The sequence below is a fragment of the Homo sapiens genome, chromosome 2, assembly GCF_000001405.40.
Source record: "Homo sapiens chromosome 2, GRCh38.p14 Primary Assembly".
NCBI classification, from domain to species: Eukaryota; Metazoa; Chordata; class Mammalia; order Primates; family Hominidae; genus Homo; species Homo sapiens.
The window spans coordinates 222,251,358-222,279,272 of record NC_000002.12 but is presented as its reverse complement, the minus strand read 5'-3'; the positions used below and the strand labels follow the sequence as shown (position 1 = coordinate 222,279,272).

General features: G+C 39.3%; 1 protein-coding gene across 6 annotated transcripts in view, besides 1 other annotated feature; it reads left to right on the top strand.

Annotated features, from left to right (window-relative positions):
• The window catches only part of PAX3 (paired box 3), a 99,112-nt gene that overhangs the window by 19,726 nt on the left and 51,471 nt on the right, over positions 1 to 27,915 (top strand). The window lies entirely within an intron of this gene.
• Positions 6,190 to 6,793: an enhancer, noted in NCBI's record as "NANOG hESC enhancer chr2:223137199-223137802 (GRCh37/hg19 assembly coordinates)". NCBI's record gives its function as "activates a minimal SCP1, AML or CMV promoter by ChIP-STARR-seq in naive H9 embryonic stem cells {active_cell/tissue: H9 hESC(naive)}" and the evidence as "EXISTENCE:reporter gene assay evidence [ECO:0000049][PMID:30033119]".

Genomic DNA, 27,915 nt, shown 5'->3' with positions numbered 1-27,915 from the left:
CATAGATACTCAACTGGTTGGCTGGGCGTGGTGGCTCATGCCTGTAATCCCAGCACTTTGGGAGGCCCAGGCGGTCGGATCACTTGAGATCAGGAGGTCGAGACCAGCCTAGCCAGCACGGTGAAACCGCCCCGTCTCTACTAAAAATACAAAAATTAGCCAGGCTTGGTGGCAGGTGCCTGTAGTCCCAGCTACTTGGGAAGCTGAGGCAGGAGAATTGTTTGAACCTGGGAAGCAGAGGTTGCAGTGAGCCAAGATCGCACCACTGCACTCCAGCCTGGGCAACAGAGTGAGACTCCATCTCAAAAACAAACAGACAAGCAACAACAACAACAAAAACAAAAGAAACTCAACTGGTTAAGCCTTTAACTGGTTAAATGGAAAGTATTTGCTCTTTTCTAAAGGACGCTGAGAGCTGACAACTTACCATGAAGGAATGAATCCCTAAAGGTAGAATTTCAGGTGTCCGTGTTTGGTGGGGGCAGGAGATAGGTTCCTGATGCCCCTAAAATCACACCTCAGCAGATCCTGTCTTCACTGTGAAAGGACAGGATTAGTTTTGCTATGAAGGAGCTCCTTGCTGGTGGGCAGGACCTGCTAGGGCACAATTCCCCATTGAGCTGTCTAGGAGGAGACATAGCCAGGTTGGACCAAGAGCATCCCTCCACCACAAGTGGATTTCCCACACTTCCTCAGTGCCAGGGAAGGGCCTTGGCTTTTGTCCCTTGGGCTCCCTGGCAAAAAGCAGAAGGACAAGAAGGGTCTCTTTGGCCAAGAGCCATAGACTAGGAAGGAACTGTGGGGCTCATCTCACCTTAGAACTCACAACCTTCCCCAAGGAGCAGAAGTCTGGGCTGAGCTCTTAAATCCTTAGTGGCTCCTGGACAGTTGTCAGAGGTCTGAAGAAATGAGACTCCCCTCCTCTAGAGGACTGGGGCACAAAGGATGTCTGTTATGGATCTACTAGCTGTGGCTGGGGGTGGGGGAGGCTTCTGGCCAGGGAGGGCCAGAGGCTTAAATCTCCAGAGATTCCTAGACTCTCAGTCTTCAGACTCTTGAGATCCTTAGAAACAAATCACTTTGGAGCATGTAAGCCAAAAGGGTCTCAGTGGAACAACTGGGATTGAGTCCACCAATGATATCTGGGATTCAGAAATTGCCAGTGTATTCATGGACCATTTTAATCAGGGTGTCTAATCTTTTGGGCTCCTTGGGCCACACTGGAAGAAGACTAATTGTCTTCGGTCACACATAAAATACACTAACACTAACACGATAGCTGATGAGCTAAAAAAAAAAAAAGAAATCACACAAAAACTCAATTTTTTTTTTTTTTTTTTGAGATGGAGTCTCGCTCTGTTGCCAGGCTGGAGTGCAGTGGCATGATCTCAGCTCACTGCAGCCTCCGCCTTCTGGGTTCAAGCGATTCTCCTGCCTCAGCCTCCCGAGTAGCTGGGACTACAGGCACGTGCCACTATGCCAGGCTAATTTTTCTATTTTTGGTAGAGACGGGGTTTCACCATGTTGGCCAGGCTGGTCTCGGTCTCTTGACCTCGTGATCCGCCTGCCTCAGCCTCCCAAAGTGCTGGGGTTACAGGTGTGAGCCACTGCGACCGGCCAAAACTCATGTTTTAAGAAAGTTTATGAATTTGCTTTGGGCTGTTTTCAAAAGCATCCAGGGCTGCATATGGCCCGTGAGCCACGGGTTGAACAAGCTTGATTTAAATGATCTTGTGTTCCTATTGGACTGTCAAAGTGGGCACTCAGGCTTGATTTGTGTTTTATAAATATTAGATAATGACAGGGAGTATGAGCGTCTAGAAAAACGGTCCACGTCTCCCCAGGAGGGGTTCCTGTAAAAGGTGGGTTCAGCAAGGAGCTAATGAACCTATGGGAATCTCACCTTTGAGGTTTGTTTCTGTGATTTGTTTCTGAGGATCTCAAGAGTCTCAAGACTGAGAGTCTAGGAGTCTCTGGAGATTTAAGCCTCTGGCCCTCCCTGGCCAGAAGCCTCCCCAACCCCCAGCCACAGCTAGTGGATCCATGACAGATCACCTAAAAACATCTCTGTGTCATTAGATTTTTGTAAATATTGCAAAATTAAGATCTATTGTATTTTTTTTTCAAGAGGAGCCCCCTAAATTGTAAAAGCTTCAGGTCCCACAAAACCGCATCTACCCTTGTCCTTGTTCAGCAGAGGTGGGGAGAGATGGTACGCTTCTGTGTGTAAAGTGTGAGTCAGCACAACCATGTAACAGCCACATACTAACAGTGCCAACTTGTGTCTTGCACTTTAGAATACGCAGGGTGCTTCTTCATTTCCTGTGCCTTATCTTGTTTGCTTCAAGAAGTCAAAGTCTGGGTTTGACTAACAATTTACCCATATGGTTCTTACTCTACACAGCATCCTCTGTCTTTGTAGGGAGCCCCTTAGGGGGGATCTTGGACCGACTCCTCACAAGAAGATGAGAAATATCCACTCACTGCATAAGGGCAGGTGGGCAAAACCCTTAATTGGAGGATGCAGGGAGGCTTAGTTCCCTTAGCTGTAAAGGTTGTGTTAGGCACTTTCTAGATGTTTCTTGTAGGTCTCTGAAACTATTACTGGGACCTGGTTGCTTTCCGTTTCTGGACCTCATTCTCCCCTCCTCTGACAAATGGAAGCTCTGGGCGAGGTGAAGGCCACGGTCTCTCCCAGCTCTAGCAGGCTGTGGCAGCTGTGGCCCCATCCACCTCTCAGCAGACTTGTAGAAGGTACAGGCAGCCGCTTGAGGAAATCATGGGGCCCCCAGGCAGCCAGGGAATCAGGGCAAGGATGGAGAGGACCGGGACCCTTCATATCTTAGAAGGTGAGCAACTGCTACCTTGCCTTGTCTTTGAGGGAAAAGATGCCTTTAGGTGCTGGAAGGAGGTGGGAAATGAAGCCTTCTGGGAAGAAGCATTTCTGTGCAGTATCACAGGTGAACACACCGGCTCTTCTTCCACGCAGGGAGATGCGTGCTTTCTTGTACCTCTTGTCAAAGCTGTGGCTTCCAGAAGAGGCTGGAAAGGCCTCTGGGTATTGTTTTGAGAGCTTCACTTTCAATGGGTTGCACATGATTCTGCCGGGAAGTTAGAATTGCTACACAGGAGGGTGACATTCCCTCTTTCGTCTATGCCTGGACGATTTCTTCCTGTGTCCAGAAAGGGACACACAGGATTTCTGGCTACTGACCACAAAGCTAGAAGCTGTCTGGTCTTGAAGAGAAGGAGACTCAGACAATAGTGAATTCACTTCAGATGATTCTAAGTCATATCTTAAATTAACGCCCTAATGGCTCACACTTAGCGGTTGTCCCAACTGATTGGGGCAAACAAGAGTTTGCTCTTAACTAAAACACACACATATACACTCACATATTTAAAAATCTTATTTGAATAAATCAAAATTTTCAATGCCAAACAGAGTTTCAGAGAAAACTCATGAAGATTAAACAGGAGAGCATTTCAAATCTGAAAACTTTTGTTGTTTTTGTAAAAACATTGAAGTATTTAAAAACTTGGAAAGAATGTAAGAAATATTTTTTTTGTTATATTGAAGACAATCCAAAGCAAAATGTCATAGCCTATCAAGAGGAGATTTTACTAAGTTTCATCCTCCCATTTTTTTACTATTTTATTTTTGTGGAGGAAAATTATTTCAAAAATCATCTACACAACATATTGACTTTTCAGCTATATATTCTGAAGGTAGACAATGATTCATTCAAATATTACACTTTTTAATTGCAAAGACTGAATGGTAAAATTAACAACGTAAAATGCACTTTGAAAATGTGGTGGGTTTTTTTTTTGTTCTAGACAATTTTAGAGCATATAAAATATCCAAACTAATATTTGCATGCATAATTTTTTGTATATACCTGATATCTATGGCTCAAGCTTTATTGTAGTTTATCTTAAATAGGTTTGTGGAAACACATGTAAGCAAATATTGCCATAAAATATTTACTAATCTTTTAAAATAGAAGCCAAACATTATAAAACGAGAATGTTAGGAAGAAGAACTATACCCTTTGTATATTCAGAATAATAAGCCCTGCTATTTACCATATGAGTTTGTCTCTATTTTTCTTAGTGATTATCCTGTACTCAGATCAAATATATTGCAATTTTGAACTTTGAATCGAAATTAAAATTTTTATTTAATAAGAGAGAAAGTCACTACTTGACCTTTAGATTAAAGAAGAAATCTGATCTTAGCCACTTCACTTCTAGCTAACATTAGGATTTTTGTTGAGTAATTCCATACAAATCAAAACAGTTCAAATTATTGACTCCCTTTTCCATATCCACAGACAAAACTGACTGATTCTGCCACATGAATTGGGTCCTAGCAGGTTTGAAAAAGTTGAATTTATGAGAGATATGGCGTGAATTTGTTTAATATACTTTGAATAGCAAGATAACTGTATAGCTTTTAAAATGGCAGGCATTCATGATGCTTTGCCAAGCTTGGGGTGGTGAGCAGTACTCCATCTGAGTATTGATTTCCTCTACTTATTTTTTTTCCATGTTTTCTTAGGGAAGTGCTAGTTGAGGTTCGAAGAAGAGTTGTTATTCTGTTTAACTATATAAAAACATTAAAACATTTTAGGGAATGCGAAAATACATATGCTTCAAGTTAAAATATTGAGACATCTTGGATATTTTAAAAACATTTCCACTCTAAAGTAGCAAAAGCAGACTTTAAAAAAAAAAACAAAAAACTTCCTTTATAGAGGTGGTTACGTTTGCTGGTTAAAATAATTTGAACATTTAGGAAGAACGTTAACTCTACAGCGTTGAGACATTTACTATTTTCCATTCTCTATTAAAAGAGATTTTAAAAAATTTAAAGTACGAAGATGATTATTTTTATAGTTGGTCAGAGGGATTTTAATATTAATATAAATATAAATTTATACTCCTTAAGGGAACTGAAATCAACAAATGCTAAAATGAAACTATAGAATGACTTCTACAAAAGAAGACAAATATATAGTTTGTCAAAATTACTTATATTAATAATGTATAACAGGGCTTAGAGACTCTGTTGTACAATTCATTTTGGATGTTTGAGATTAAAAATATCCTTTTAGAATTTGGAGAAAATGAAATTGTTGCATTTGAGAGGAGAGGGAGCTGCAGAACAGAGCACAGTGGAGAGAGCATATTAAGGATTCTGTATATTTTATTTCACAAGTCCTTTGTAAAGTGAATTTCTCACATTAGGATTAAAACACTAATTTTTCTAGGAACCAAATAAGTACCAAACTCCGAATTTACTTGCAGAACAGATTACAATTTATACCTGCTTTTATTCAAAAGATGGCCATTTTCTAATGAAGAGAATGAATTGAGGAGCAAATTTAAAAAATTACAGCACCGAATTTGCCATGTTTTAGTCGAATTTTTATTTGATTATAGTTCTAAGAGCTGTCAAATTACCTAAAGGAAGCAATGAGTTTCTCAATAGGAAAAAAAAAGGAAAAAGAAAGGGAAATGATCCAAAAATGCTGCAACTAAATAACAATCATTTCTGCTAAGCTTTGTGCAGCTTTAAATACAATTGAATATTAATTCTTTCAGACCTAGTTGACTTAAAAGCTAGGATGGATCAGGAGCTGATTTTTGGCATTCCTTCATTTTTCCACTCTTTTGTTCACTTGACACACAGCTTTTATACATTGGCTTTGCAGGAACCACTGGCATGATCTCCGAACAATCTGTTTGAGGAGGAAAGGGTCCTTCCAACAAGCAGCCAGAGGTTTAATAAAATACTGCCCATCCTGTCTACCTTAAACAGTAGAAGAAATAGCTGTTGGCATAAAGGTACCAATGAACTTATGTTTCCTCGTGTTAATAGAGCAAAGAACCTTCTTGGTGTTTAAACACACATGGACACACAGGCGTGTGCACACACACACAAGCCCGAAAATCATGTGGTTATATTTTTTTAGTTAAGAAGAGTCACAATGAAGCCACAACCCTGTTCCATACTGCTAGATTCAGTATCATGTTGTAAGGAACATGCTGGTTGAAGAAATTATTTTGTTTATTAATTCAGGTTACATGTCCTGCCAGGCTGGCTGGAAGAGAAAGGAAAGAAAGGTGTAACTTTAAGCACACACTGATTTGTTCTTATTACATAACAAAAGTCTATTTCTTTATCATGTTATCATTCAGTTAATAAAAATTAGCTACAATAACAGCATCAACTTAAAAACCCCTCAAAGTCCAGGGGATTTTCTTTCACAATGAACATGAATACGGTTCAGAAATACAAACAGTCAAAGGATAACTTTAGGTCTGAAAGAGAAACCTGGCAAGGGTAATTGAATAAGCCTGGGTCCCCTGACTGTGTCATGGTGAGGGCAGTCAACATGTCATAATTAGGTTTATTGAGGGCCATTCCAACAATCTGCTTCTATTCTTCCTGCCTTATTGTCCACAGCTAGGCAAATAGCCAAGGGACAAAAGGAATCAAGTGCTGACAAAACATGAAAGAGGAAAAAGATTTAGCTGCTTTTATCAAAGAAACTGAGAAGGACTTTGTGTAAATAAAATAAGTGACTGGCCATCCCGCATTTAGGCAATGCCGTTTTCATTAGAATTAATTCTTGACATATTGGAAGAGTTCCAAGGGAAGGATTTCTACTTCTGACAAGTTTAATTTGTAAATTAAAAACAGTTGGTTAAACATGAGCCTCCATCAACAAAACTTAACCAAAGCCATACACGGTAAAGGCCTAAGCAGGTGAAAAAGAGAATTACTTTGAAAACAAAGTCTTCCCCAAAATTATGCAAATTCTTATTACTTCATAACAAATGTTACCCATTGAAGCCTACAGCAGGATGTCTGTTCCTAGAGATTTGTTTAGATCACATTTTCTTCCCCTTTAAGCCTCTTTAGTTGACATAACACTTACTCCATGCTTGGGAAACATGCTGGTGCTTGGGAGAAGGGGTATAATGACATTTTTAAAGAACTAAAGCTAATGCAACTTTTGTAACTCTACACATTTCAGAACGGCTTGCTGCACTTTTTTTCTTTTTTCCATTGAAGATGAGAGTTTCCTCTAAGTGTGCCTCTGATTCCTAACTGGGATAAACAGTGGCGGCTACTATGCAGTGTTTCTTGAACTAAACATTCATCAGATCCCAGGTCAATGTTGTCTGGTAGGATGGTTTCATGCAACACGATCAGCTTTGTGGTCATGACTTGGTGACGCGAAGAAAGTGAAACCTTCAGGAGAGAGGTCCAGCAGGCATCTGGACAAGGCTTTCATTTAAGTCTAGGAAAATTCTTTGATAAAACAGCTCCTTGTGAAGTTGGAACACCTTTCTTGTTGCATTTTTGCAGCTTGCAGGTTAAGCTTTAGAAGGCTTCTTTCATGTGGAACTGAATTTCAGAAGCATCTTTTTCAAACTGCCAATGGGAAGGTAGCTAGGAGGAGGATGCTGTCATGAATGATTTGTCCCTTGGGAATATAAATTTTACTTGGGTATCAAATACCCCTCAGCTTTATTGAGAATTACATAGGAAATAAGAAACCTATTACTTAGGTAGCTTCAATGACTAGGTTATTTAGGTTTAAAAACTTCAAAATGCTTTACTTCCCTTGGCATCAAGGCACATTGCCTTATTCCTTGACACTTAAAGTGAAAAAAAGGTTTTTCCCTCAACTCAAAGAATTATATGGTTACACCAAATAGTGAGTGTAAAAATACTTTAGGAAGTGCAAAGCCCTAGACAACTGCAAGATATAATCGTTACTGTCACCAGTACCATCATCATCAGCATCACCATTATTACTATGTTTGGGATGGAACTTGTCACAGTTATATTTACATGACCATAGCATCCTGAGGAAGCATTGCAATATGTGTTCCAAACATTTTTCTTGTGTCTTGTTGAGCTGGATTTGCAGAGGTCTTGAAGTTTATTCCACTTACGGATTTTGGTAAAGAATCCATAGGACATCAGGCTGCCCAGGTCTAGTTCTACACCAGATATAACCATGGCTTTATGAAAGGCTTTGGGGTTAAGAGATTTGTCCTGGTTCACTCTCTGAATAGTTGTGATCATGGAAAAGTCACTATGTGTTCTGAGCTGGAGTCCTTTTCAATGTAGGCGATAATATTTGCTCCACTACCTCAAAGGATTGTTGTGTTAGTGACCGCGAACACATCAGAAGTCCTGAGCAAATATAAAGTATTATTTACTTAGAATCTGTTGATTCCTTTTGTACTCATTGAAACAAGGTTTGGTAGCTGATTGATTTGCCTTCTTGCTGTCTCAGAGTGCAGTTTAACAAGGATTAAGTGGATCTTCCTGTGGTCAGTCTAAAATAGACAGAACTAATTCTATATCTAGGACATAAGGGACCTAGTTACTGGGATAACATTGCTTTATTGCAAAGCAGCACACCGCTGCATATCTAGTGAAAGACTAGTATGGGAGAAACTGCTTTTAAGGGTTTGGATTTGGGCAAAATAAGTCTTTTGATTTTCACATTGTTCTGATGTCTGTTGGCTCATGTCACAAGATTGGAAGGCCCAGCAGGCCAGGAAGGAGTTTCTCTGGAAGGAGTTGGAGATTTATGCAGATTGGCTGGCTCTCTGACATTTATTTGCTGCCCTTTTTCACTCTATTTTGGCAACTCTGAACCAGATGGATAAGCTCATGGAAAATAAGGCCAGTGAGGAGAAGATGCTTTTGATTTCCCTGAAGATAAGGGAAACCTCTCTCTTTTTCTCTTTCTTTTAACTTAGCAGCGACAATTTTATTGCACGAATGCAAAATTGGCAACTCACTTTTGGAGACCGATGGAAACATCTGAACAAGGACCTCCCTTGTACGTCATTGAGGGTAACATAAACTCTGTTTACCAAAGCATCCAGTGAGGGGAGAGAAGCCCTGACAATGGTCTGAATGTTATGTCTACCAGGAGGCCAACGGTTCAGTTTGTAGCTGAGCACCAAGGATGCTAGTCGGAGCTTGAGCTAAGATGATAATTCACCAGGACTGAAATCCTTCTTTAATCATCAACCTCTCTGCAAGGAGAATGATGAAGAGGGGAAACAGGGCTTACTATTTCACTCTGTAATCATTTATGATTTGAGCTGTATTTTACCTTGTGTTGACCTCTGGTGCTGTTGGTTTGCTCATTCTATAGCCTCAGCTACAGTGTTGCAAGGGGACAATGCAGACAGTGGCCACTGCATGGTGATTTCTTTGTAAGAAATGGAAAAATATTATCTAAATGTGTAGATAGAGAGATACAGTTTTACTATTTTAGGCTCGAACTAAATTCTTTCTACTAAAAGAATTAAGTGTTTAAGCACAAATGTTCATTTCAAAAGTAATTATGTCTTGAGCTCACTAGCACATTTTTTGTGAAGGTGGCATTTTTTCCTTCTATGTTAAAGTCATCACATTTTCCCTCTGTGCTACCCATGGCACACAATTTCAAACTGAAAATACTTTATCTCGGCATATTGTTGAACTTTGCCCTTGGAATTTAAATGTTGAAATATGGTATTAAAAATGGTGAAGGGATTTGCTGATTAAGTACGACTTTTTTTTTTTTTTATGGAAAGGTGGGAGAGAAATGTGCAGCTTGAGAATTTAGCCTTATTATTTATTTTATGTTGTCGTTGTTTGTAGACTTTTAAAAAAATTTGTTTACTCTTGTTTGTTTGCACTAATCACTACTTAAGGAAAAGTAAGTCACAGGCCAGCCTCCTCTTCACGAAGCCTTTAGCCATGGTGACCGTTCAGGCATAAAAACGTGCTTATCTGCAAATGAATGGCAGCTCTTTGCTTCATTAAAGCCCCTTTCTCTTTTGGCACTCGCATTGTGACCCTTTGATATTAATTCAAAGGGCAATTAAAGAATGCGGGCCATCTTTGAAGTAAGGCATTCAGGGCAAGGGTAGGGACGAACCTGGGCCTCTGATGGACTGTGCGCATTCAACAGGCCTTTTCAAGGCAGTTTGAAGTGAGTCAAAGAAAATGGGCAGGAGAAGGTCAAAGAGAAAAAAGGGGCTAAAGAAACAGTCCGTATTTGTTCGGAGTATTAGCCAAGAAAACTGCAAATAGCAACAAAATGAAACAGTTAATAGAGCAGCCAGACAGGGCCATGTCAATCACTTAACTTGAACAGCGTTAGGCTTACCAAGGCTCCTCCACTGTGTTACCTAATTATCTTGGGAAAAGCAGTAACTGGAAGTAATGGTATTGTATTTCTTTCTGCCTACTGCCCAGAAAAGGTGATAAATACTCACTGCTCCATAATTATGCAACATATATACATAAAGGAGTAGGAGGGGGTGGAAGAGGGCTGGGGGCTCGGAGACTGCCTTGAAGTCGGGTTCCTAGTAAAACGTCTGAATATGGCACAAATATGGCATTTTCAAACATTAGCATGCTGGAGAATCGCTTAACTCGTTTCATCTGGAGCTGGCTGAAATATGCATGATCTCTCCTGGAACAACTCTTAAAGACAAACACGCTTACTCATCTAGGAAAGTTCTCGTTGAGAAAAAATAAAATAGCCTGCAAGAGCTGTGCTCAAATAATATGAAGGATTTGGCGAACACTCCCCTCTGCCCCCCAACCCCCCGTGGAAACGAGGAGATTCAGAGTGAGGTAGGAAACTCAGCTCTTTGCTTTCCCCGTTGTGCCTGGTTATTGAAACACCCTTGGGGAGAGGCAACCGGAAAGCCCTCCGTGGTAACCGCATAGCCACAGCGAGTTGCATATGTTACCTAGAGAGCAGGCGGATAGTAGGTAGGGCTGGGGGGGTTGATTGGATATTTGATTGCTTTCTATTAGTGTGGTTAGGATGGATATTTTTGGATTCCACTTCTATTGGTCATGATAAAAAGCAAAAAAACAACAGAAGCCAAGCACTTCTTTGAAAGTGTGAGCAAACCGGTTGAAAAACTATTTCCAGATTCCCCCAAGGGTGTATGGGTAAGGGAGGAGGAACCCAGGCACGCACATACATGTCTGCAGATAGGTCGAATATGTGTTTGTAATTGCAAAACATGACCAGCCTTTAAAGAGGCCCCCAGGACTCTGCTCAGATTATTTGCAATATGGGCTGCTACAGATTGTTGTTTGATGTTGCATTTGTGCATAACAGGTTTTGTTTGGAGGGACAGTAATAGATCTAAAGGATCTGTTATGCAGCTTTTTGACATACTGTTACAGAATGTAGCTATTAATATAAAAGTTATGGCCTTTGTAAAAAGTCCATTATTGAACTAAGTACTCAGTTGCTCTGCATTTTAACAAAACAGTCATATACTGATGCTTGAAAACTTTCCTTTTCTTAAAAAATTCCAATTTGCCAGTCACCCAGGGTAAGTCGTATATAATACGACGAATCACAAATTATATGATTTTTAAAAAACATATTAGCAACTTCAGCTACTCAGTAGGATCAACCAATAAATTATGCCTTCTGCCTCGTTTAATGGTACAGCAGAACAATGTTTGAGTGGTTAGGGGGTGTCACTATCTCAGAGACAGTCAATAGAGCAGTAGCTGCTTAACTAAACAGGAATCACGTTGGTGGCATTGCAAATTTCCTTAGGTGTCTTGGGAAAAAATACCACAAAATGTCCCAAATAATAATAAAAATGTAATTTACAGTAAATTATAAAATAAGGGGAAACTCAAGTAATAGAATAAGCTAGGATACTTTTACCAATAGTAAGCAGTAACTCTCTTCCACTTACAGAAAGAATAGATTTTTTTGCAATAATTTTGAAAAAGTGTTTTATTTAAAAAAATACATAGCATATTTTGATGCCTTTTGAAAGGGTGACTAAAAGTCATATATCTGGAAAGATTAGGAAGTGTCCATCATCTTATAATACTGAAAATATTGATGTACCTTGTAGCTCACAATCAGTGACGTGCAAAGGGAAATATGGAGTACTTTTTAATTGTATTCCTCCTCATACCTCCTTGGTGACTTGCAGATTTTCATCAACTTTTGTCCTTCTAGTCTCTTTTTTCTTACTCCTTTTCCATGCAACTCAAAAATGTGTGCTATGAGGAGTGAAGGCTGGGGAACAGTGGTGAGAGAGAACACTTTGAGTTACTTTTTGTCTCCCATTTTAACTTTTCCCACCTTCTTGAACTATCAGTTAGAATCATGTGCAATCTCCGGGTAAGAGTGTGGCTGTGAATAAATTTATCAAGATAAAACTGGTCACTTGTTCTGTTTATGCTTTGGTGAATTTGGATTGAAGTGGCTCTATCCAGCTTACAGAGCAGACTTACAGTTATTGCACTTGTAGCGCCTGCTGTATACAGGTTCAATGCCATGTGATTTCATAGGTTGCAAATGCAACAAACTGATTCTGTTATTTCCTAAGCTGCTTCCTAGAAGTACATAAGGAATTCCTGGGATCTGTATGATATTTGGGATCTCATGGTTTCAGTGGCTCTCTGAAATCATAGGGGAAGAGAATTTTCTCTCCCACCTCCTTTGGACATACATTTCTTCTTGGATCTGACAGGCATTCCCCTTCAAGGGCCAGGCAGATAGCCACAAAGCAGAAATAATAATGTACTAATTGTAAAGCTAAGGAAGCAGAAGTTTAGAGAGATTGTGTAGCAGCTGTTAAGGGGCAGAGCTGGGCTCAGAATCCAGGTTTGCGCAAATCTAGAACCTGCAATTTTAACTGCCACACTATGTGATTGGCTTGTGCCTTCTGGGAAGACAGGTGGTATTAAGAAATAACTGAGGAGGGGGCTACTTTCAGGGAGTGGGTCTAGTGACTCTGCAGCTGGTAGCTCTATAAAGTGGGGCCAATAATAGTATTTGCCTTATAAAATTGTGATAAAGACTATATGAATATACAGGGGTGCCAAGTTCTTCTCAATAAGCATCAGGTATTGTTCTTGTTAATCTTATTTGTAGGGCCTGGCCCAGAGGGGGCTTTCCTAGGAAGCTAACAGAGCCTAAACTTTGGGACTCTTGCACATATGAATTCCTGAGTGTGCTGAGGGTTTGTTGAGTGCTGTAGTGTTCTAAGTGAGGAGGGGAAACCAGGATGCAATCAGGATATGTTTCCGTGTAGGCTCCAGCAATTTGTTGTGATTTTTTTTCCCGTTCTAAACAAATATTCACTTTTCAAGCCAGATTTTGTACTTGTAAATCTATATTCTTTTCAAAAGAAAGTCTCCCAAATTTTACAAGCTTCAAGCTCCGCAAAACCTGGATCAACCAACTACTGGCTGTCCCCACACTATTGGATTAGCCCTGCCTTCAAACCCTTCTACAGGTGTCCCTGAGCCAGATTCTGGCAGGATGTAGGAGTTTGGTCATTTTGCTGACTGGTTGATTAAGAGTTTGATTCACCCACAGGTATGAACAAGAATTCTAGCCGTTCTGTCAGATTCTGTGTGTATATGCATAAACTAAAGAAGTCAAAATCATCATCGTATTCTGGAATTGTTAAAAGTCTGACTTGCTACATATTCTAACTCTCAGTGTCCTGAAAAGGTTAGAGGAAAAATCAAAATCAATCTTTCTCCCTTCCTTCCTTCCTTCCTTCCTTCCTTCCTTCCTTCCTTCCTTCTTTTTTTTGATGGAGTCTCACTCTGTCGCCCAGTGGCGTGATCTCGGCTCACTGCAAGCTCCGCCTCCAGGCTTCACGCTGTTCTCCTGCCTCAGCCTCCCGAGTTGCTAGGACTACAGGCGCCCACCACCACGCCCGGCTATTTTTTTGTATTTTTAGTAGAGATGGGGTTTCACCGTGTTAGCCAGGATGGTCTGGATCTCCTGACCTCATGATCCACCCGCCTTGGCCTCCCAAAGTGCTGGGATTACAGGCCTGGCTGAGAAGAAAAATCTTGCTCCAAGTATTAAGGATACACAAGAGGCTAACAGAACTACGGGGAAAGCGTAGAACCTAGGGAATAATAGTTTATTTTAAAGTAAGGGTAACAGGAGAAACTAGGCGTTGCCCAGAAACCCAGTTAGAGCCTTTTATGAGACATGTACAGCAAAATCCACACAAACAAGCCACTCTTGAATGCCTACTCTATGCTAGATACTGGAGAAAATAGCGATTAATAAGATATATTCTCTCTTTTCCAGAACCTATAGCCTGGAGGGGAAGATGGTCACATGAGCAGATCACAACAATCTCATGTGTTTAAGTACTTTTTAGAGTCCAGGGCACTGTGGGAATGCGGGGGATGGTCGTCTGGCCATCCCCAAGTTCAGGAAATGCTTCCTTGAAGAGAAGATCTCAGAGCTGAGTGTTAGAGGATGACTAATGAGCTGAAGAAGCAAAAAATAAATGGTATTACTGGCAGAGTGAACAGCATGGGCAAAGGTATGGAATGGTCACATGGTGCATGTGAGAATGGCAAGAAGTTGAAGACAAGAGGTCCTGTCACCAGAATGCCTCAGTCTTCAAAGGCAAAAGCTGCGAGTGACCATTTTGTAGGAGCATTTTGGGAAAGAACAGAGCCTGATGCACTGAAGTGGAAAGTCCTTTGGAATTTAACAACTTAACTCTTCCTTTGTGCTTTGTTCAAGGAGGTAATCTAAGCATGGAGTTACAAATTATTTTTTTTCTAGTTTCTTTCTTTTTATGATTTTAAATTTATTTTTTGAAATTATCATGGTAAAATAGACTTTTTTGGATTACTTTGTGTGGGGGTGAAACTTGCGTAACACAAAATTAACTGTTTTAAAGTGAACAATTCAATGGCATTTGGTATTTTCACAACATATTGCAGTCACCAGATCTATCTAGTTCTAAAACATTTTAATCACCCAAAAAGAAAACCTGGGACCCATTAAGCAATTGCTTCCCAATCCCCCATCCGTCTCCTGGCAATCATCAATCTGCATTTTATCTCTATGGATTTAACTATTCTGGTTATTTCACAAAAATAGACTCCTACAGTATGTGATCTTTTGTGTCTGGCTTCTTTCACTTAGCATTATGTCTTAGAGGTTCACACATATTGTAGCATGCATCAGTATTTCATTACTTTTTATGGCTGAATAATATTCCATTGTATTATATATCCTAATTTGGTTATCCATTCTTCTACGATGGACAGTTGGGCATCTACCTTTTGACTATTATCAATAGTGCTGCTATGAACTTGTATTTGATCTTTTTTGGAGTCTTAACACATGCTAATTTATGCAATCATCATCACTACCAGGATAGAGCACAGTTCCATCACTCCAAAAACCTCGCTTTGAAATTGTATTCTCTACTGCTCTTAGTCCCTGGAAGCTGCTGATCTGTTCTCTATCAATGTAGTTTTATTCTTTAAGAATATCTTATAAGTGGAATCATACAGTATGTAATGTTTTGAGATTGGCTTATTTCAATCAGTGTAATTACTTTGAGATTCACCCAAGTCATTGCATGTGTCAATATTTCACCCCTTTGTATTGCTGAGTAGTATTCTACTGAATGGGTATGCCACAGTTTGTTTACCCATTCACCTGTTGAGGAAAAACAACCAGTTGAGGGTTTTGGCTATTTCCTTGTTTTGGTCATTATGAATAGAATTGCCATAAACATTTGTCTAGAGGTTTTGTGTGAACACAAGTTTTCATTTCTCTAAATACCTAGAAGTGTGATTTCTGGGTGATATGTTAACTGTATGCTTAACTTTATAAGAAACTGCCAGACTGTTTTACAGAGTGACTCTATCCTTCTGCATTCCACCAGCAATACACAAAATTCCCAGGTGCTCTGCATCTGTGCCAACCCTTGGTATTGTCAATATTTTTTTATTTTGCCATTCTAATATATTCTTAGTGACATTTAATTTTAATTAAATGTTTTAATTCATTTTTCTCTAATGGCTAATGATGTTGGACAACTTTTCATGTCCTTATTTGCCAACCATATATCCTCTTTGGTGAAATGTCTATTCAACTCTTTTGCTCATTTTTAAAAATTGTTAAATATTTTGTTTTCATATTGTTGAGTTTTGAAAGTTCTTCTTATATTCTCAATGCAGGTCTTTTGTCAGATATGTGATTTGCAAATATTTTCTCTCAATCTCTACATTGCCTTTTCATTCTTTTAACCATGGCTTTTGCAGAATGAAAGTTTTATTTTGATGAAGTCCAATTTGTCAATTTTTTATTTTATCAGTTGTGCTTTTAAGCATCACATCTAAAAACTATTTGACTAGCCTTGGTCCTGAAAATATTCTGAAAATATAGACTTTACATTTAGTTCTATGACCCATTTTCAGTTAATTTTTGTATGTGGTGGTGTTAGGTTTAGGGCAAGGTTTATTAATGTATTTTTTGCATCTGTATGTCTAACTGTTTCAACACTGTTGGTTGAAAAGTCGTTCCTTTCTCCATTCAGTTGCATTTGCACCTTTGTCAAAAATTGACTGTCCATATTTTTGTGGTTGTTTCTGAATTGTCTGTTCTGTTCCATATATATATCTGTGTCTTTCCTTATACCACAATGTCTTGATTACTGTGACTTCAGAATAATTCTTAAAATCAAAAAATGTGATTCCTCTAACTTTATTCTTCTTTTTAAAATTGTTTTTAGCTATTCTAGTCCTCTGTTTGTCCACATAAATTTGTTAATTAGTTTGTCTGTATCTACAAAAAAAAAAACCTTCTGAGAACAATTTACTTTCAAAAGTTGTTTTATATTGGTTTTAAAGAGTTTTAGAAATCAAAGAGTGATGAAAAAAATGAATCTATTTATATTACATACCCAATTAATAAAATTATCTGCCAAACTGAGGATGTCATTTTATTATAAATTTTTCCTCTATGCAAGTGCTCAGTTTTAGTAAAATGGTGAGGGGGGGTTGAGTAAAGTATGATAACTACACCAGAAAAAAAATAGAATTGTCATGCTTTTTTTTGTTTATTTGTTTTGTTGTTTTTAAAAAGAATGGTCATGGTAGCTTTATTTGTTATAGTCCAAATAGGGAATAATCCCTAAGTCCACCAACATAAGAACTGATAAAATGGATAAATAAATTGTGCTATATACACTACATTGGAGTCTTGTTCAGTAATAAAATAAGAATGAACTACTCACATATGCAACAACATGGATAAATCTTAAAAATGTTATGTTGAGCAAAAGAAGCCAAACATATGAGTCTACGTATACTGTCTGATTCTACTTATCTGGCATTCCAATACATGCAAAACCAATGGATTGTGGTAGAAATTAGAACAGTAACTGCCTCTTAGATGAACTGACCAAAGGGGCACAAAGAAGCTATTTGGGGTGCTGGGAAAGTTCTACTTTGGGAACCCATTGGGATACTGGTTGCCTGTCATGCTTGTTTAAACTGCTTTACTAATTTGTCAAGCAACACTCAAAATTATTTTCAGAGAACAGGAAGGCAAACATGAAACATTTAACGTACATTCATAAAGAAAAGGTCAATCTCCTCATGGCTTTTATATCATTTATTTAATTTATATAGTTGTAAGCATTTGGGTCCTCTCAAAAGCATTTGCAAATGTGCAATATTATAAGGTTTGCAGGCCAATGTTCTGACTCATGCATTAAAAACTGCAATATCAGGAACTTGGGAAGGGAAGTAGAAGGTAAGAAGTTGGTGTTTCTTTTTCTTTTTCTTTTTTTTTTTTTTGTTGTTGTTGTTTCTGCTTGAGTGAAGATAGAAACCCACCCTCTGTTCTGCCTCAGAAGAGGACAATTAGAGAAATATTACAATCTTCTTCGTATCTTTTCCTCCTAATGTAGAATTTCATTGCATAGTTCCAGTGAACTTTGAATGCTGTGTTGTAATGTTCCATACAAATTGACATGTGTGCTAGGTATTTAGATTTTTTTTCCTAGCCGTTTGCTAACATTTCAAATAGGATTAAAATTTAATACTTAAAAAGTCAATGTGAGCATTATGAAAATGAGCTTAAAATATAATTAAGGATTCAGCAAGTGAGCCTCAAATTTGGCTGAGGCTGCCTGTGAAACCCTTGGCTTTTTGAGGGAGGCTGTTAGCAGTTGGTGGCTGTGGATATCCTGGCAGTCCACTGCGTGCATGGCAGCTCTGACAAAATCGTTGTTTGCTGATATAATTTTGGAACTTTGGGTTAGATAAAGTCTGCATTTCAGGTTACTTTGAAAAAACTGTATATTGAGATGAATAGCTAAGGATAAAGTTTATCAGTATAGTAATTTTAGGAATTCTCCATTGAGACTGCACTCACTGCATTGAAGGATGTGGTGCTGAGTGCTTCTGGCCACAGCCTGAGTCCATTTTAACTATTTGTAAAAAGTCTAAGTGACTCTAGGTGATTATTCAGTGGTTCTAAGGAAAGCATTATTTTAAAATCTTGTGTTGCGGCATGGTGCAGTGGCTCATGCCTGTAATTCCAGCACTTTGGGAGGCCGGGGCAGATCACTTGAGGTCAGGAGTTCCAGACCAGCCTGTCCAACATGGCGAAACCCCGTCTCTACTAAAAATAGAAAAATTAGCCGGGCATGGGGGTTCACACCTGTAATTCCAGCTACTCAGGAAGCTGAGGAGGAGAATTGCTTGAACCTGGGGAGTGGAGGTTGCAGTGAGCTGAGATCATGTCACTGTACTCCAACCTGGGCAACAGAGAGAGACTTTGCCTCAAAAAAAAAAAAAAAAAACAAAAAAAAAAAACAAAAAAAAAAAACAAAAAAAAAAAACTTGTGTTGCTTGAAATAGTTTTTTCATTCCTAAACCATGACCTTATGGTATTGAAATAGAGACATGTGTAAATGAAAGGGAGTTTGATTTCTTAGTTAAAGAACAAATAGAAAAATAGCACAGTAAAACTATGATCATCCAGCAGTGATCATTATGAAGCTTTCTTTTCCTGTTGTTTTCTTTTTGAGAAAGGTCTTGCTCTGTTGCCCAGGCTGGAGTGCAGTGGCATGATCATGGCTCACTGTAGCCTCGACCTCCCAGGCTCAAGCAATTCTTATTTTTCTATAGTTTTTTTTTCACATGTAGTCTTAATTTGCCACTTCAATCTTGTGATGTACAACAGAAGAGCATTCAGTTCCCCATCTTAAAGATAAACAGACCAGGCATGGTGGCTCATGCCTATAATCCCAGCACTTTGGGAGACTGAGGCAGGAGAATTGCCTGAGGCCAGGAGTTCCAGGCCAGCCTGGGCAACAAAGCTAGACCTCATCTCTACAAATTTTATTTTTTAAAAAATTATCCAGGCCCGGTGGTGTGTGCCTATAGTCCCAGCTACTCTGGAGGATCACTGAGCCCAGGAGTTTGAGGATGCAGTGAGCCATGTTTGTGCCACTGCACTCCAGCCTGGGTGACAGAGAGACATCCTATCTCTTAAAAAAAGAAAGTGAGGATCAGAAAAGTTAAATGAAGCTAACTTCACTAGTAAGTAACTGCTGGTAAGTAGCAGAATCAAGATGATAAACTCATTCTCACAACAATCTGAAATGGCATTTTACTTTTAGGTAAAGCAAATTCTTATCTATGTCTGTTAGAAAAGGGAAAGTATGACTTCAAAGTCCTGAATTTCTGATCCTGAGGCAAAATTTATTAAGTTTTAATTTTTTTTCCTTTATGACAAGATGAAAAAAAGGTAAGAATGCTAAATTGTGTATCAACTCTGGCTTTGAAATGTTTAAAAAATATGGACACTTGAATTTTTCTTTCTTTAAACACAACCGGTGTTATTTCCCAATGTCACTTCTCTGCTTAGTTATAAACCCCTTTGATTTTGATGTTCTTAATAGATGTTGATTGGTAGAATGCTATGCCTAGTCTTTATATTTGATATATATCATGTATTACCTGTAAAGTGCTTATTTGTTTTGTACAATCTCTTGGCCTTACCTTTTGATCTAGATATAAAACAGGCAGAAGCAATGTGATTCCTGCCTTTAATGTCATATGATTCCAGGAATTAAGAATTTCCATCGCAGAATGTATCAGGAAGTGGAGAATGGGCTTATTCAAACAGTGATGTTCTGTTGGATAAGTTGTGTTAGTTGCTTCCGTGTGTGTGCTCATTTTGTGGTAGGTGTTCATTTCGAGGTAGTAAAAGTAGGTTTTTCCTTTCGCAAGAAACCACTCTTGGAAAGTAGATCTCAGCTGCTGCAGATGTGGCAAAATACAGAATAAATTTAGTTGAGGAAACTTGAAATGTTAAGATTATTTTTTTGAAAAAAAAAGTCTTCAGGAAGGAGTTTCTTAATTCTAGTCTTCTTGTTGACGCTGGCTTAGTAGCTCACTCCACAGTATGCTTCAGGGTTTGGGATTTGTATAAAGTGTTTTAAATCAGTGCCACAGTCAACCGCAGATTTGGTTCTAGAGAACAAGACTCAGGAAAAAAAGAAATCTCAGCATCACCAATAAGAGACTTTTTGTTGTTGTTAAGAACTGAACTTCAGATCCACACATTAGAACATTAGAAAGGTATAATCCATACTCCATAAAACTCAGATTAAGAAAGTCCTCCATGTATGCCATATATTCTGTAATTGCAAACAGTATGCGAGGTTGGGAAATCAAGTCCCAAGCTTAAAGGTTCTTCCTGGGGAGCTGCAGAGGAAGGGGAGAAGCATATAGATGCATGTCAGTTTCCAGACTCTGGGGTGAGGCTGTTGTTCTTAAAAGGAACAAGGCATCTTCAGAAAAAGTGTGATTATCAAACAACAGGTCAAAGTTTATCTCTAGGTCAACAAAAAGGCAGGGGCAGGGTGGTGGTGGTGGTGATGGTGTCATCATTCTGGCTGTGAATATAAGCTCCATATTTAAATAAATTTGTGATAATGTATTCAGATTTTTTTTCAAATTACCCTATTAGGTTTACTAAGTATTATTTAATAATGAAATCAGAAAATTGTTCTTACTGTTAATAATCTAATAATGGGTAATAATAATAAAGTTTCACACACATTACCTAACTTGATCCTCACAGAAATGCTATGAGGTAAATATTATTATTCCCACTATGCAGATGAAATAATTGAGGCTTAAAAACATGACTGCTTCCTTTACGCAGACAAATATATTGTTTTTTCCACCACTATAGTTCCCTCTGAAAAAGCTGGATGATGTAATATGGATTCATCTTTTTCGGGTTTGCTTTTATTTTTGCTTGTTTCCACTAGGGTTGGAGGATTCATCTTAATTGGATTTAACTTAAAATATAGACACACTTGAAAGCACTCTAGAAAACTAAGTTTTAGAATGGAAGGGTGTCTCTTGAATAGAATATTCCTCTTTTCTTGGAGCAGTTCTTTTTTCCTTCCTTTTTCCCCAGAAGGGTTTGCCGTCCATCCCTATTACAAAGCTCCTCTGTGCCCTGCCTGGATGTTCTCACAGAGGTGGTGTGGGAACTCCCTGAGCCGGGACGATGCAGTCAGCAGCGTGGGGGTGACCCTGGGGAGGCCCTGGTGGGCACAAAACAGCCCCATTTCCTGCCCAGCCATGCGCTGCCTTGAGCCTCAGGAGGCCCCAACTTCTGACTTCTGCCCTGCTGTCAGATGCGAAGGGCCCTCTAGTCTTTATCACTCTTTATTGTTTTATTTTCTTAAGCATAATTCCCTGGGAGAACATATCATACAGTGACTGGTACATGCATTCTTACTGGCATTTGAAAAGATGAATGGAGACAGGTAGTCAATTTAGATGACTTTTTCAACACAAAATGAAGGTTGTGTTTAAAATAACGTCTGGAAAACAGGCACTATCTCAGTGAAAGTCCCTGAGAACAAGTCTCAATAATTAGCATGGCAAAACAGCAAATAATTATTTTTTGAGCATTCACTAGCTATGGAGTTTCAAATTTTTTGTAGCTGCTGGGGTAGAAAAATAATCATTCTAGCATAGTACTATGCTTAAAACATAAAAGTACATTATTAATTGGCCCTTCATATTTGGCTCTATGAGTTAAAAGACATGAAAACAACATACATCTTGAATTGTTACAGCATAAAAACATAATGGTAAATTTCAATAGTAAGTGAGTGTGAAGGAACAGAAACTTATCTGAAGGTCAAAAAAAAAAAATGCTGAGCCATTTATGCAGCGGATGTTTACTGTGTCCCTGCTAAGAGCAAGGCACCTGGAGACATTTAAGCAAAGCATAGACATTGTAAAATATATATCTGTGTTGAAATTATCTTTGTCCCCAACTACTATTTTTCCTTACCATAAAAGAGCCCATGGTGTGGTGTGTCTGTGTGTGCCCATTCTGTGACTATTTCCCAGATTTTACCTACGTATTGATTATATTTATTGTCTCAAATTAGCTTTATTGTACAAAACTATCTCACAAGTACAGGGTCCATTTCAATGATACAATGGAAGCAAAGTTTAGAGTTTAGTAGTAGGTGGCCCTATCTGTCTTTTTAGAGGTAGAATAAGTTTTGGGCCAGTCTGTCGAATTTCAAAATGGAAAGCGAGTTCTTCAAAGGCAATGACTGCTTTCTGAGATGATGTCAGGTTACTTTCTCTAAAACAAATTGTGTCATTGAAGCATAACATGAAAAATACTGCATTATTCACTTTATGATGTTTAGGAAGAGAAAATAAAAGAGTATTAGTTTTAAAAATGCTGTTATATACAGTATTTAATTTTGCATTCATGAGAAAATGAGACTTCCAGACTGCTGGTAATGAAAAGTTAATTCCTTGCAGTAGAGAAATCAAAGAGCAGTTTCCGAGTCTCTGGGGCCGAGGGACTTGGAGGAGGTTAGGGGGTCTTTGTGCCTGAGGGATTGTCTCAGTGGGAGTGGAGAGGGAGAGGGAAGGATCAGGAAGTGCCTGCCTCAGTGTGAGCCCAAGGGATCAAGGAAGGACGGCAGGGGTCTCTGAGAGGGAGGGATGGCATTATTGGGATGAGAGGACGTCCTGCTCCTATCAAGGCGTCGTCCAGAGGATGGTGAGCACTGTCTGCCGGGCTGGCTGGAGGGAAGAACGGTTTTTTGTAAACAGAGAAAATCTTCCTGCAAATTCTGAAAACCCTTACAAGGATCTGCCTTATGGCCAGTTTACCTCCTTGGAATGTAATTGATTCTGGCACGTTCCAAATAGCAGAGGAAGAAAGGAGCCCATGACTCTAAGGTTTCGAAGATCAGGGTTTGGTACAAAACAAAGCTCATCCTCAAGGTAGGTGCTAACAACTTTGAGTAAATAATATAATCGGGGCTGGGCGTGGTGGCTCACGCCTATAATCCCAGCACCATGGGAGGGCAAAGCGGGCAGATCACGAGGTCAGGAAATCGAGACCATCCTGGCTAACACATGCTGAAACCCCGTCTCTACTAAAAATACAAAAAAAAAAAAAAAAAAAAAAATTAGCTGGGCGTAGTGGCGTGCACCTGTAGTGCCAGCTACTTGGGAGGCTGAGGCAGGAGAATGGCCAATATTGTGCCACTGCACTCCAGCCTGGGCGACAGAGTGAGACTCTGTCTCAAAAAAAAAAAAAAAAAGAATATAATTGGGCATACTGTTACTATTCTATTACAGACGTGTGAAATAGCATGTGCTATGGCCACACTGCTAAATATGACAGATCACGGAATTCACTCTATGTGCATCTTCCTTCAAAATCTAGGTAGGTCAGTACTTTCCTAACATCAAGGTATCTGAGTTGCCTGCAAGAGAACCTGAGTTCCTATATGTAAAATGCCAAGAACACTGACTGGCTGACATGGTAGATGCTAGATAGGTATCAGTATTATTACAATTAATCTTTGAGGCCCTTATTTAAAAAGAACATTTCTGGGACCACTTTAAGTGATTTTGATGTTGCAGACTGAGGTGGGGCTCCCAAGTCTTCCTTTTTAACAAAGAGCTCAGGTGATTCTGATGCAGGTGCTGGTAGATGATTTGCATGAGATCACCTAGTGGGGATTCTCCAGCTAGGTGGTCTCTATACTGCTCAGCCTATCTCCTTGAAGCCTTCACCATATTTAGGCAGGGCAGGCATTTTCTATCACATGCCTCCATAGTGGAATGACCTCATTCAGCATCAAAATCAGATCCCATGACTCACATTTTTGAAGGCTGCACATTATCTTCCCCACTAGTGAAATCTATAAATGAATGTGGCCTGAACAGAACAAAATCTCAGTTTGTATTAATGCTGCAACTTGCCCTGCCAACTTCCTGAGTTAAAAATGTAAAGCTTGCCAGGTGCGGTGGCTCAAGCCTGTAATCCCAGTACTTTGGGAGGCAGAGGCAGGTGGATCACTTGAGGTCAGGAGTTTGAGACCAGCCTGGCTAACATGGCGAAACCCCATCTCTTCTAAAAATACAAAAATTAGCCAGGCTTGGTGGTGCATGCCTGTAATACCAGCTACTTGGGAGGCTGAGACAGGAGAGTTGCTTGAACCCAGGAGGCGGAGGTTGCAGTGAGATGAGATCATGCCACTGCACTCTAGCCTGGCCAATAGAGCAAGACTAAGTCTCAGAAAAAAGAAAAGAATAGAAAATGTAAAGCTTAATAGTGAGCCTTAAATATATGAGAGTCTATGATAAATGCCATGTTGATGTTGAGTTTTTGACATGTTTATACTGTAGAGTATCATCAGAAACATTAAACAATATGAAATAATCATTTATTAACTCTCTCTAAGGGATCTTTTGGTAGTTCTAGCTAGCCACAATGTTCTCTTGCATCCTAAGTAATTATGACACTGATGGAGACATCAGTTTAGGGCAGATCCAGAGATGGGTCTGCCAGATGCCTTTTTGATAAAATAATACTTAGTGACTGTGGGAAACCCAAATTTCCAAAGGTCTTCCTGGTCATCTAAGAAACTGAATTTCAGACCCTTAGGGTAACCTTATATGTGTGATGCACTGGACAACGCTTATTGCAAGAGGAAGCATGTCAGAACAGACGAGCATATTTCATACAACGAGACCAATCTAAATATAAGGTGAGAAAAGACTGACAAAACGTAAGATGAAAAAACACTGTGAGAGCTACCCTCCTTTCCCCAGGCAAATAACATATCAACTGAACACAAAATGGGATTAGAAGTCCAACTATTATCTGGTTAACCATCTAACATGTCTGGTTGAATACTTAAAGTGAAACTTTTTTTTAAAAAAAAAATTTGCAATAGGCATTTCCTGGAGATTGGATGTCATATTAAAAAAAAACTTGTCATTTGCTGTACTGTGAGCTCTGTTCTGCTCAGCTTTTTATGTGCGCTGCTTTGCAGATAACTGGAAACAATGCAGGCACTGCGTAAGTATTTGGTGAATAAATGAATGTAAATTTAAAGAAACATTTTGGAGAAAAAAAAGGCCAGGTGTGGTGGCTCATGTCTATATTCCCAGCCACTTTGGGAGGCCAAGGCAGGAGGATTGCTTGTGCCCAGGAGTTTGGCAACAGGCTGGGCAACATAGTGAGAGCCCCATCTCTTAAAAAAAAAATTAGTGGGATGTGGTGGCATGCTTCTGCAGTCCTAGCTACTCAACTACTCAGGGGGCTGAGGTGGGAGGATCACTTGAGCCTAGAAGTTTGAGGCTGCAGTGAGCTAGGATCATGACACTGCACTCCAGACTGGGCAACAGGCTCTTTTCTTCTGTCTCTAAAAGAAAAGAAAAAGAAAGAAAAAAAAAAAAGAAAAGTTTTGTAGTGAGGTTGTTAAAACTTTGACTTATTTTTTTCTTGGGAAACAAAACGTATGTCTAAATGTATGTATGTTGTAGGTTGTGTCCTATTCTCTGGACTCTGGTTATATCTTTGACAACTTGTTTTACTGTTATTTCTGTGGTGCATCACCTAGGTTTGTTCAGAGTCTTAGTTTGCATGAAGTTTTGGATGCTAAGTCATACTCTAAAATGCCTAAAATGTCTTTAGGGTTTGAGAAAGTCAACAGACTAATGTCAAACCAGGATATGCATTTCATACCTCAACACTATAATTTACCTGTATTTTACATTCTACAAGCACTCTGTGTTTTCCAAAGTCTGTTGATACCCCTGTAAATTTGTTCCTCAGAGCTACCTGTGGAGTGTTAGTACTCCTTCACAGACAGGGAATCTGGGAGCCATACCATTTAGGCAGCTCACCCAACTGATCATTTGTGTTGAGAACAGAATCCTCGGAATAGAACAACAGTTCTTTCTTTCATGCTGCTTCTGGCTTCTTTGTTTACTAAGTAGGTAAGCTTGCTGCTCTGGTGGTGGCCATTTAGATAGAGATGATGGAAGTAGCCTATGGGTCACCAGGGCATAGGATTGGGGAGTGAGGTGACAACTTTGGTTCTAGCATTTCTGGGAGAGTAGTTGGTGGTTCATGTCAGAGGTCACTGAGTCTGAAGTCAAAGCAATGATCATCAGTAAGCTAAACTAATCATAGCACCAAGACTCCAGGCCACTTAGAAAACTACTGTCCTGTTAAAAAGAGTTTCCTGGTTCTCACCCTTTTTATGAACTGAGCAATAGCTCAGTTTTGGGGTATAATTAATTCATAAATTAAGTTGGACACCTGCCCTATAAGGTTGAGTAACATCACAGAGACCTGGGCCCTCATGGGAAAAAAGTTCCACACAACTCTGGATTCATTAACATCTGAACATAGGAGAATAACACGAGATAGGGCAAGGCATCCCTCCATCCACATGGCAGAGGGATTGGGACTTGCATTATGCTGTGGATAATGGGAGTTTTGAGTCTTAGATGGTGATAGTGATGATGGGCTTTGGTGGTAACGGAATGTGGGGATGAAGTTTGTCACAAAATTCATAAACACAAGCTTCTGCATGAGAGAGATTGAATGTTAATTCTACCTTCACTACAGACTAGCTATTAGTATATAACCTCTCTGAGCCTCGTTTTTTCAATCTGTAAAATGGGGTATAATAATAATGTTGATTTGAAAATTGGATGAGGGAAAGCAAGTAAAGATGCTTGGCATGGCACCTGGTGCATAGTAAGCACCTATAAAATGTTGGCTATCATATAGACTAGGCAAATATCTTCTGTCAAGGTCCATATAGTGAATATTTTTGGCTTTTTGGGGCCACTGGCCTCTGTTAACACTACTCAGCTCTGCTGTTGTAGCATGCGGCCATAGAAAATATAGGAATGGATGAGCATGGCTGTATTCTAATAGACTTTATCAACACTAAAATTGTGTGTAATTTTCATGTGTCAATGTTACTCTTCTTTTTTCAACCATTAAGTAATGTAGTAACCATCCTTAGCTCAGAGGTAAAAACAGGCAATGGATCACATTTGGCTGACCTTTGGAATAGTCTGTTACATCTTCGATTTGGAGGTATTGTTTTGTCTCGTAGCACTCCATTTATGTTTGTGATGATTTTTCTTAGAGTTCTGTTGGTAAATTCTGGTTATGTAGCAAGGCAATCTCAGAAAGCCATGGTGAAATTGTGATGGGTAAGAAAAATGAAAATCAAAACCACAATGAGATACCATCTCACACCAGTTAGAGTGGTGATCATTAAAAAGTCAGGAAACAACAGGTGCTGGAGAGGATGTGGAGAAATAGGAACACTTTTACACTGTTGGTGGGACCGTAAACTAGTTCAACCATTGTGGAAGTCAGTGTGGCGATTCCTCAGGGATCTAGAACTAGAAATACCATTTGACCCAGCCATCCCATTACTGAGTATATACCCAAAGGATTATAAAACATGCTGCTATAAAGACACATGCACATGTATGTTTATTGTGGCACTATTCACAATAGCAAAGACTTGGAACCAAGCCAAATGTCCAACAATGATAGACTGGATTAAGAAAATGTGGCACATATACACCATGGAATGCATAGTAATGCAGCCATAAAAAAGGATGAGTTCATGTCCTTTGTAGGGACATGGATGAAGGTGGAAACCATCATTCTCAGCAAACTATCACAAGAACAAAAAACC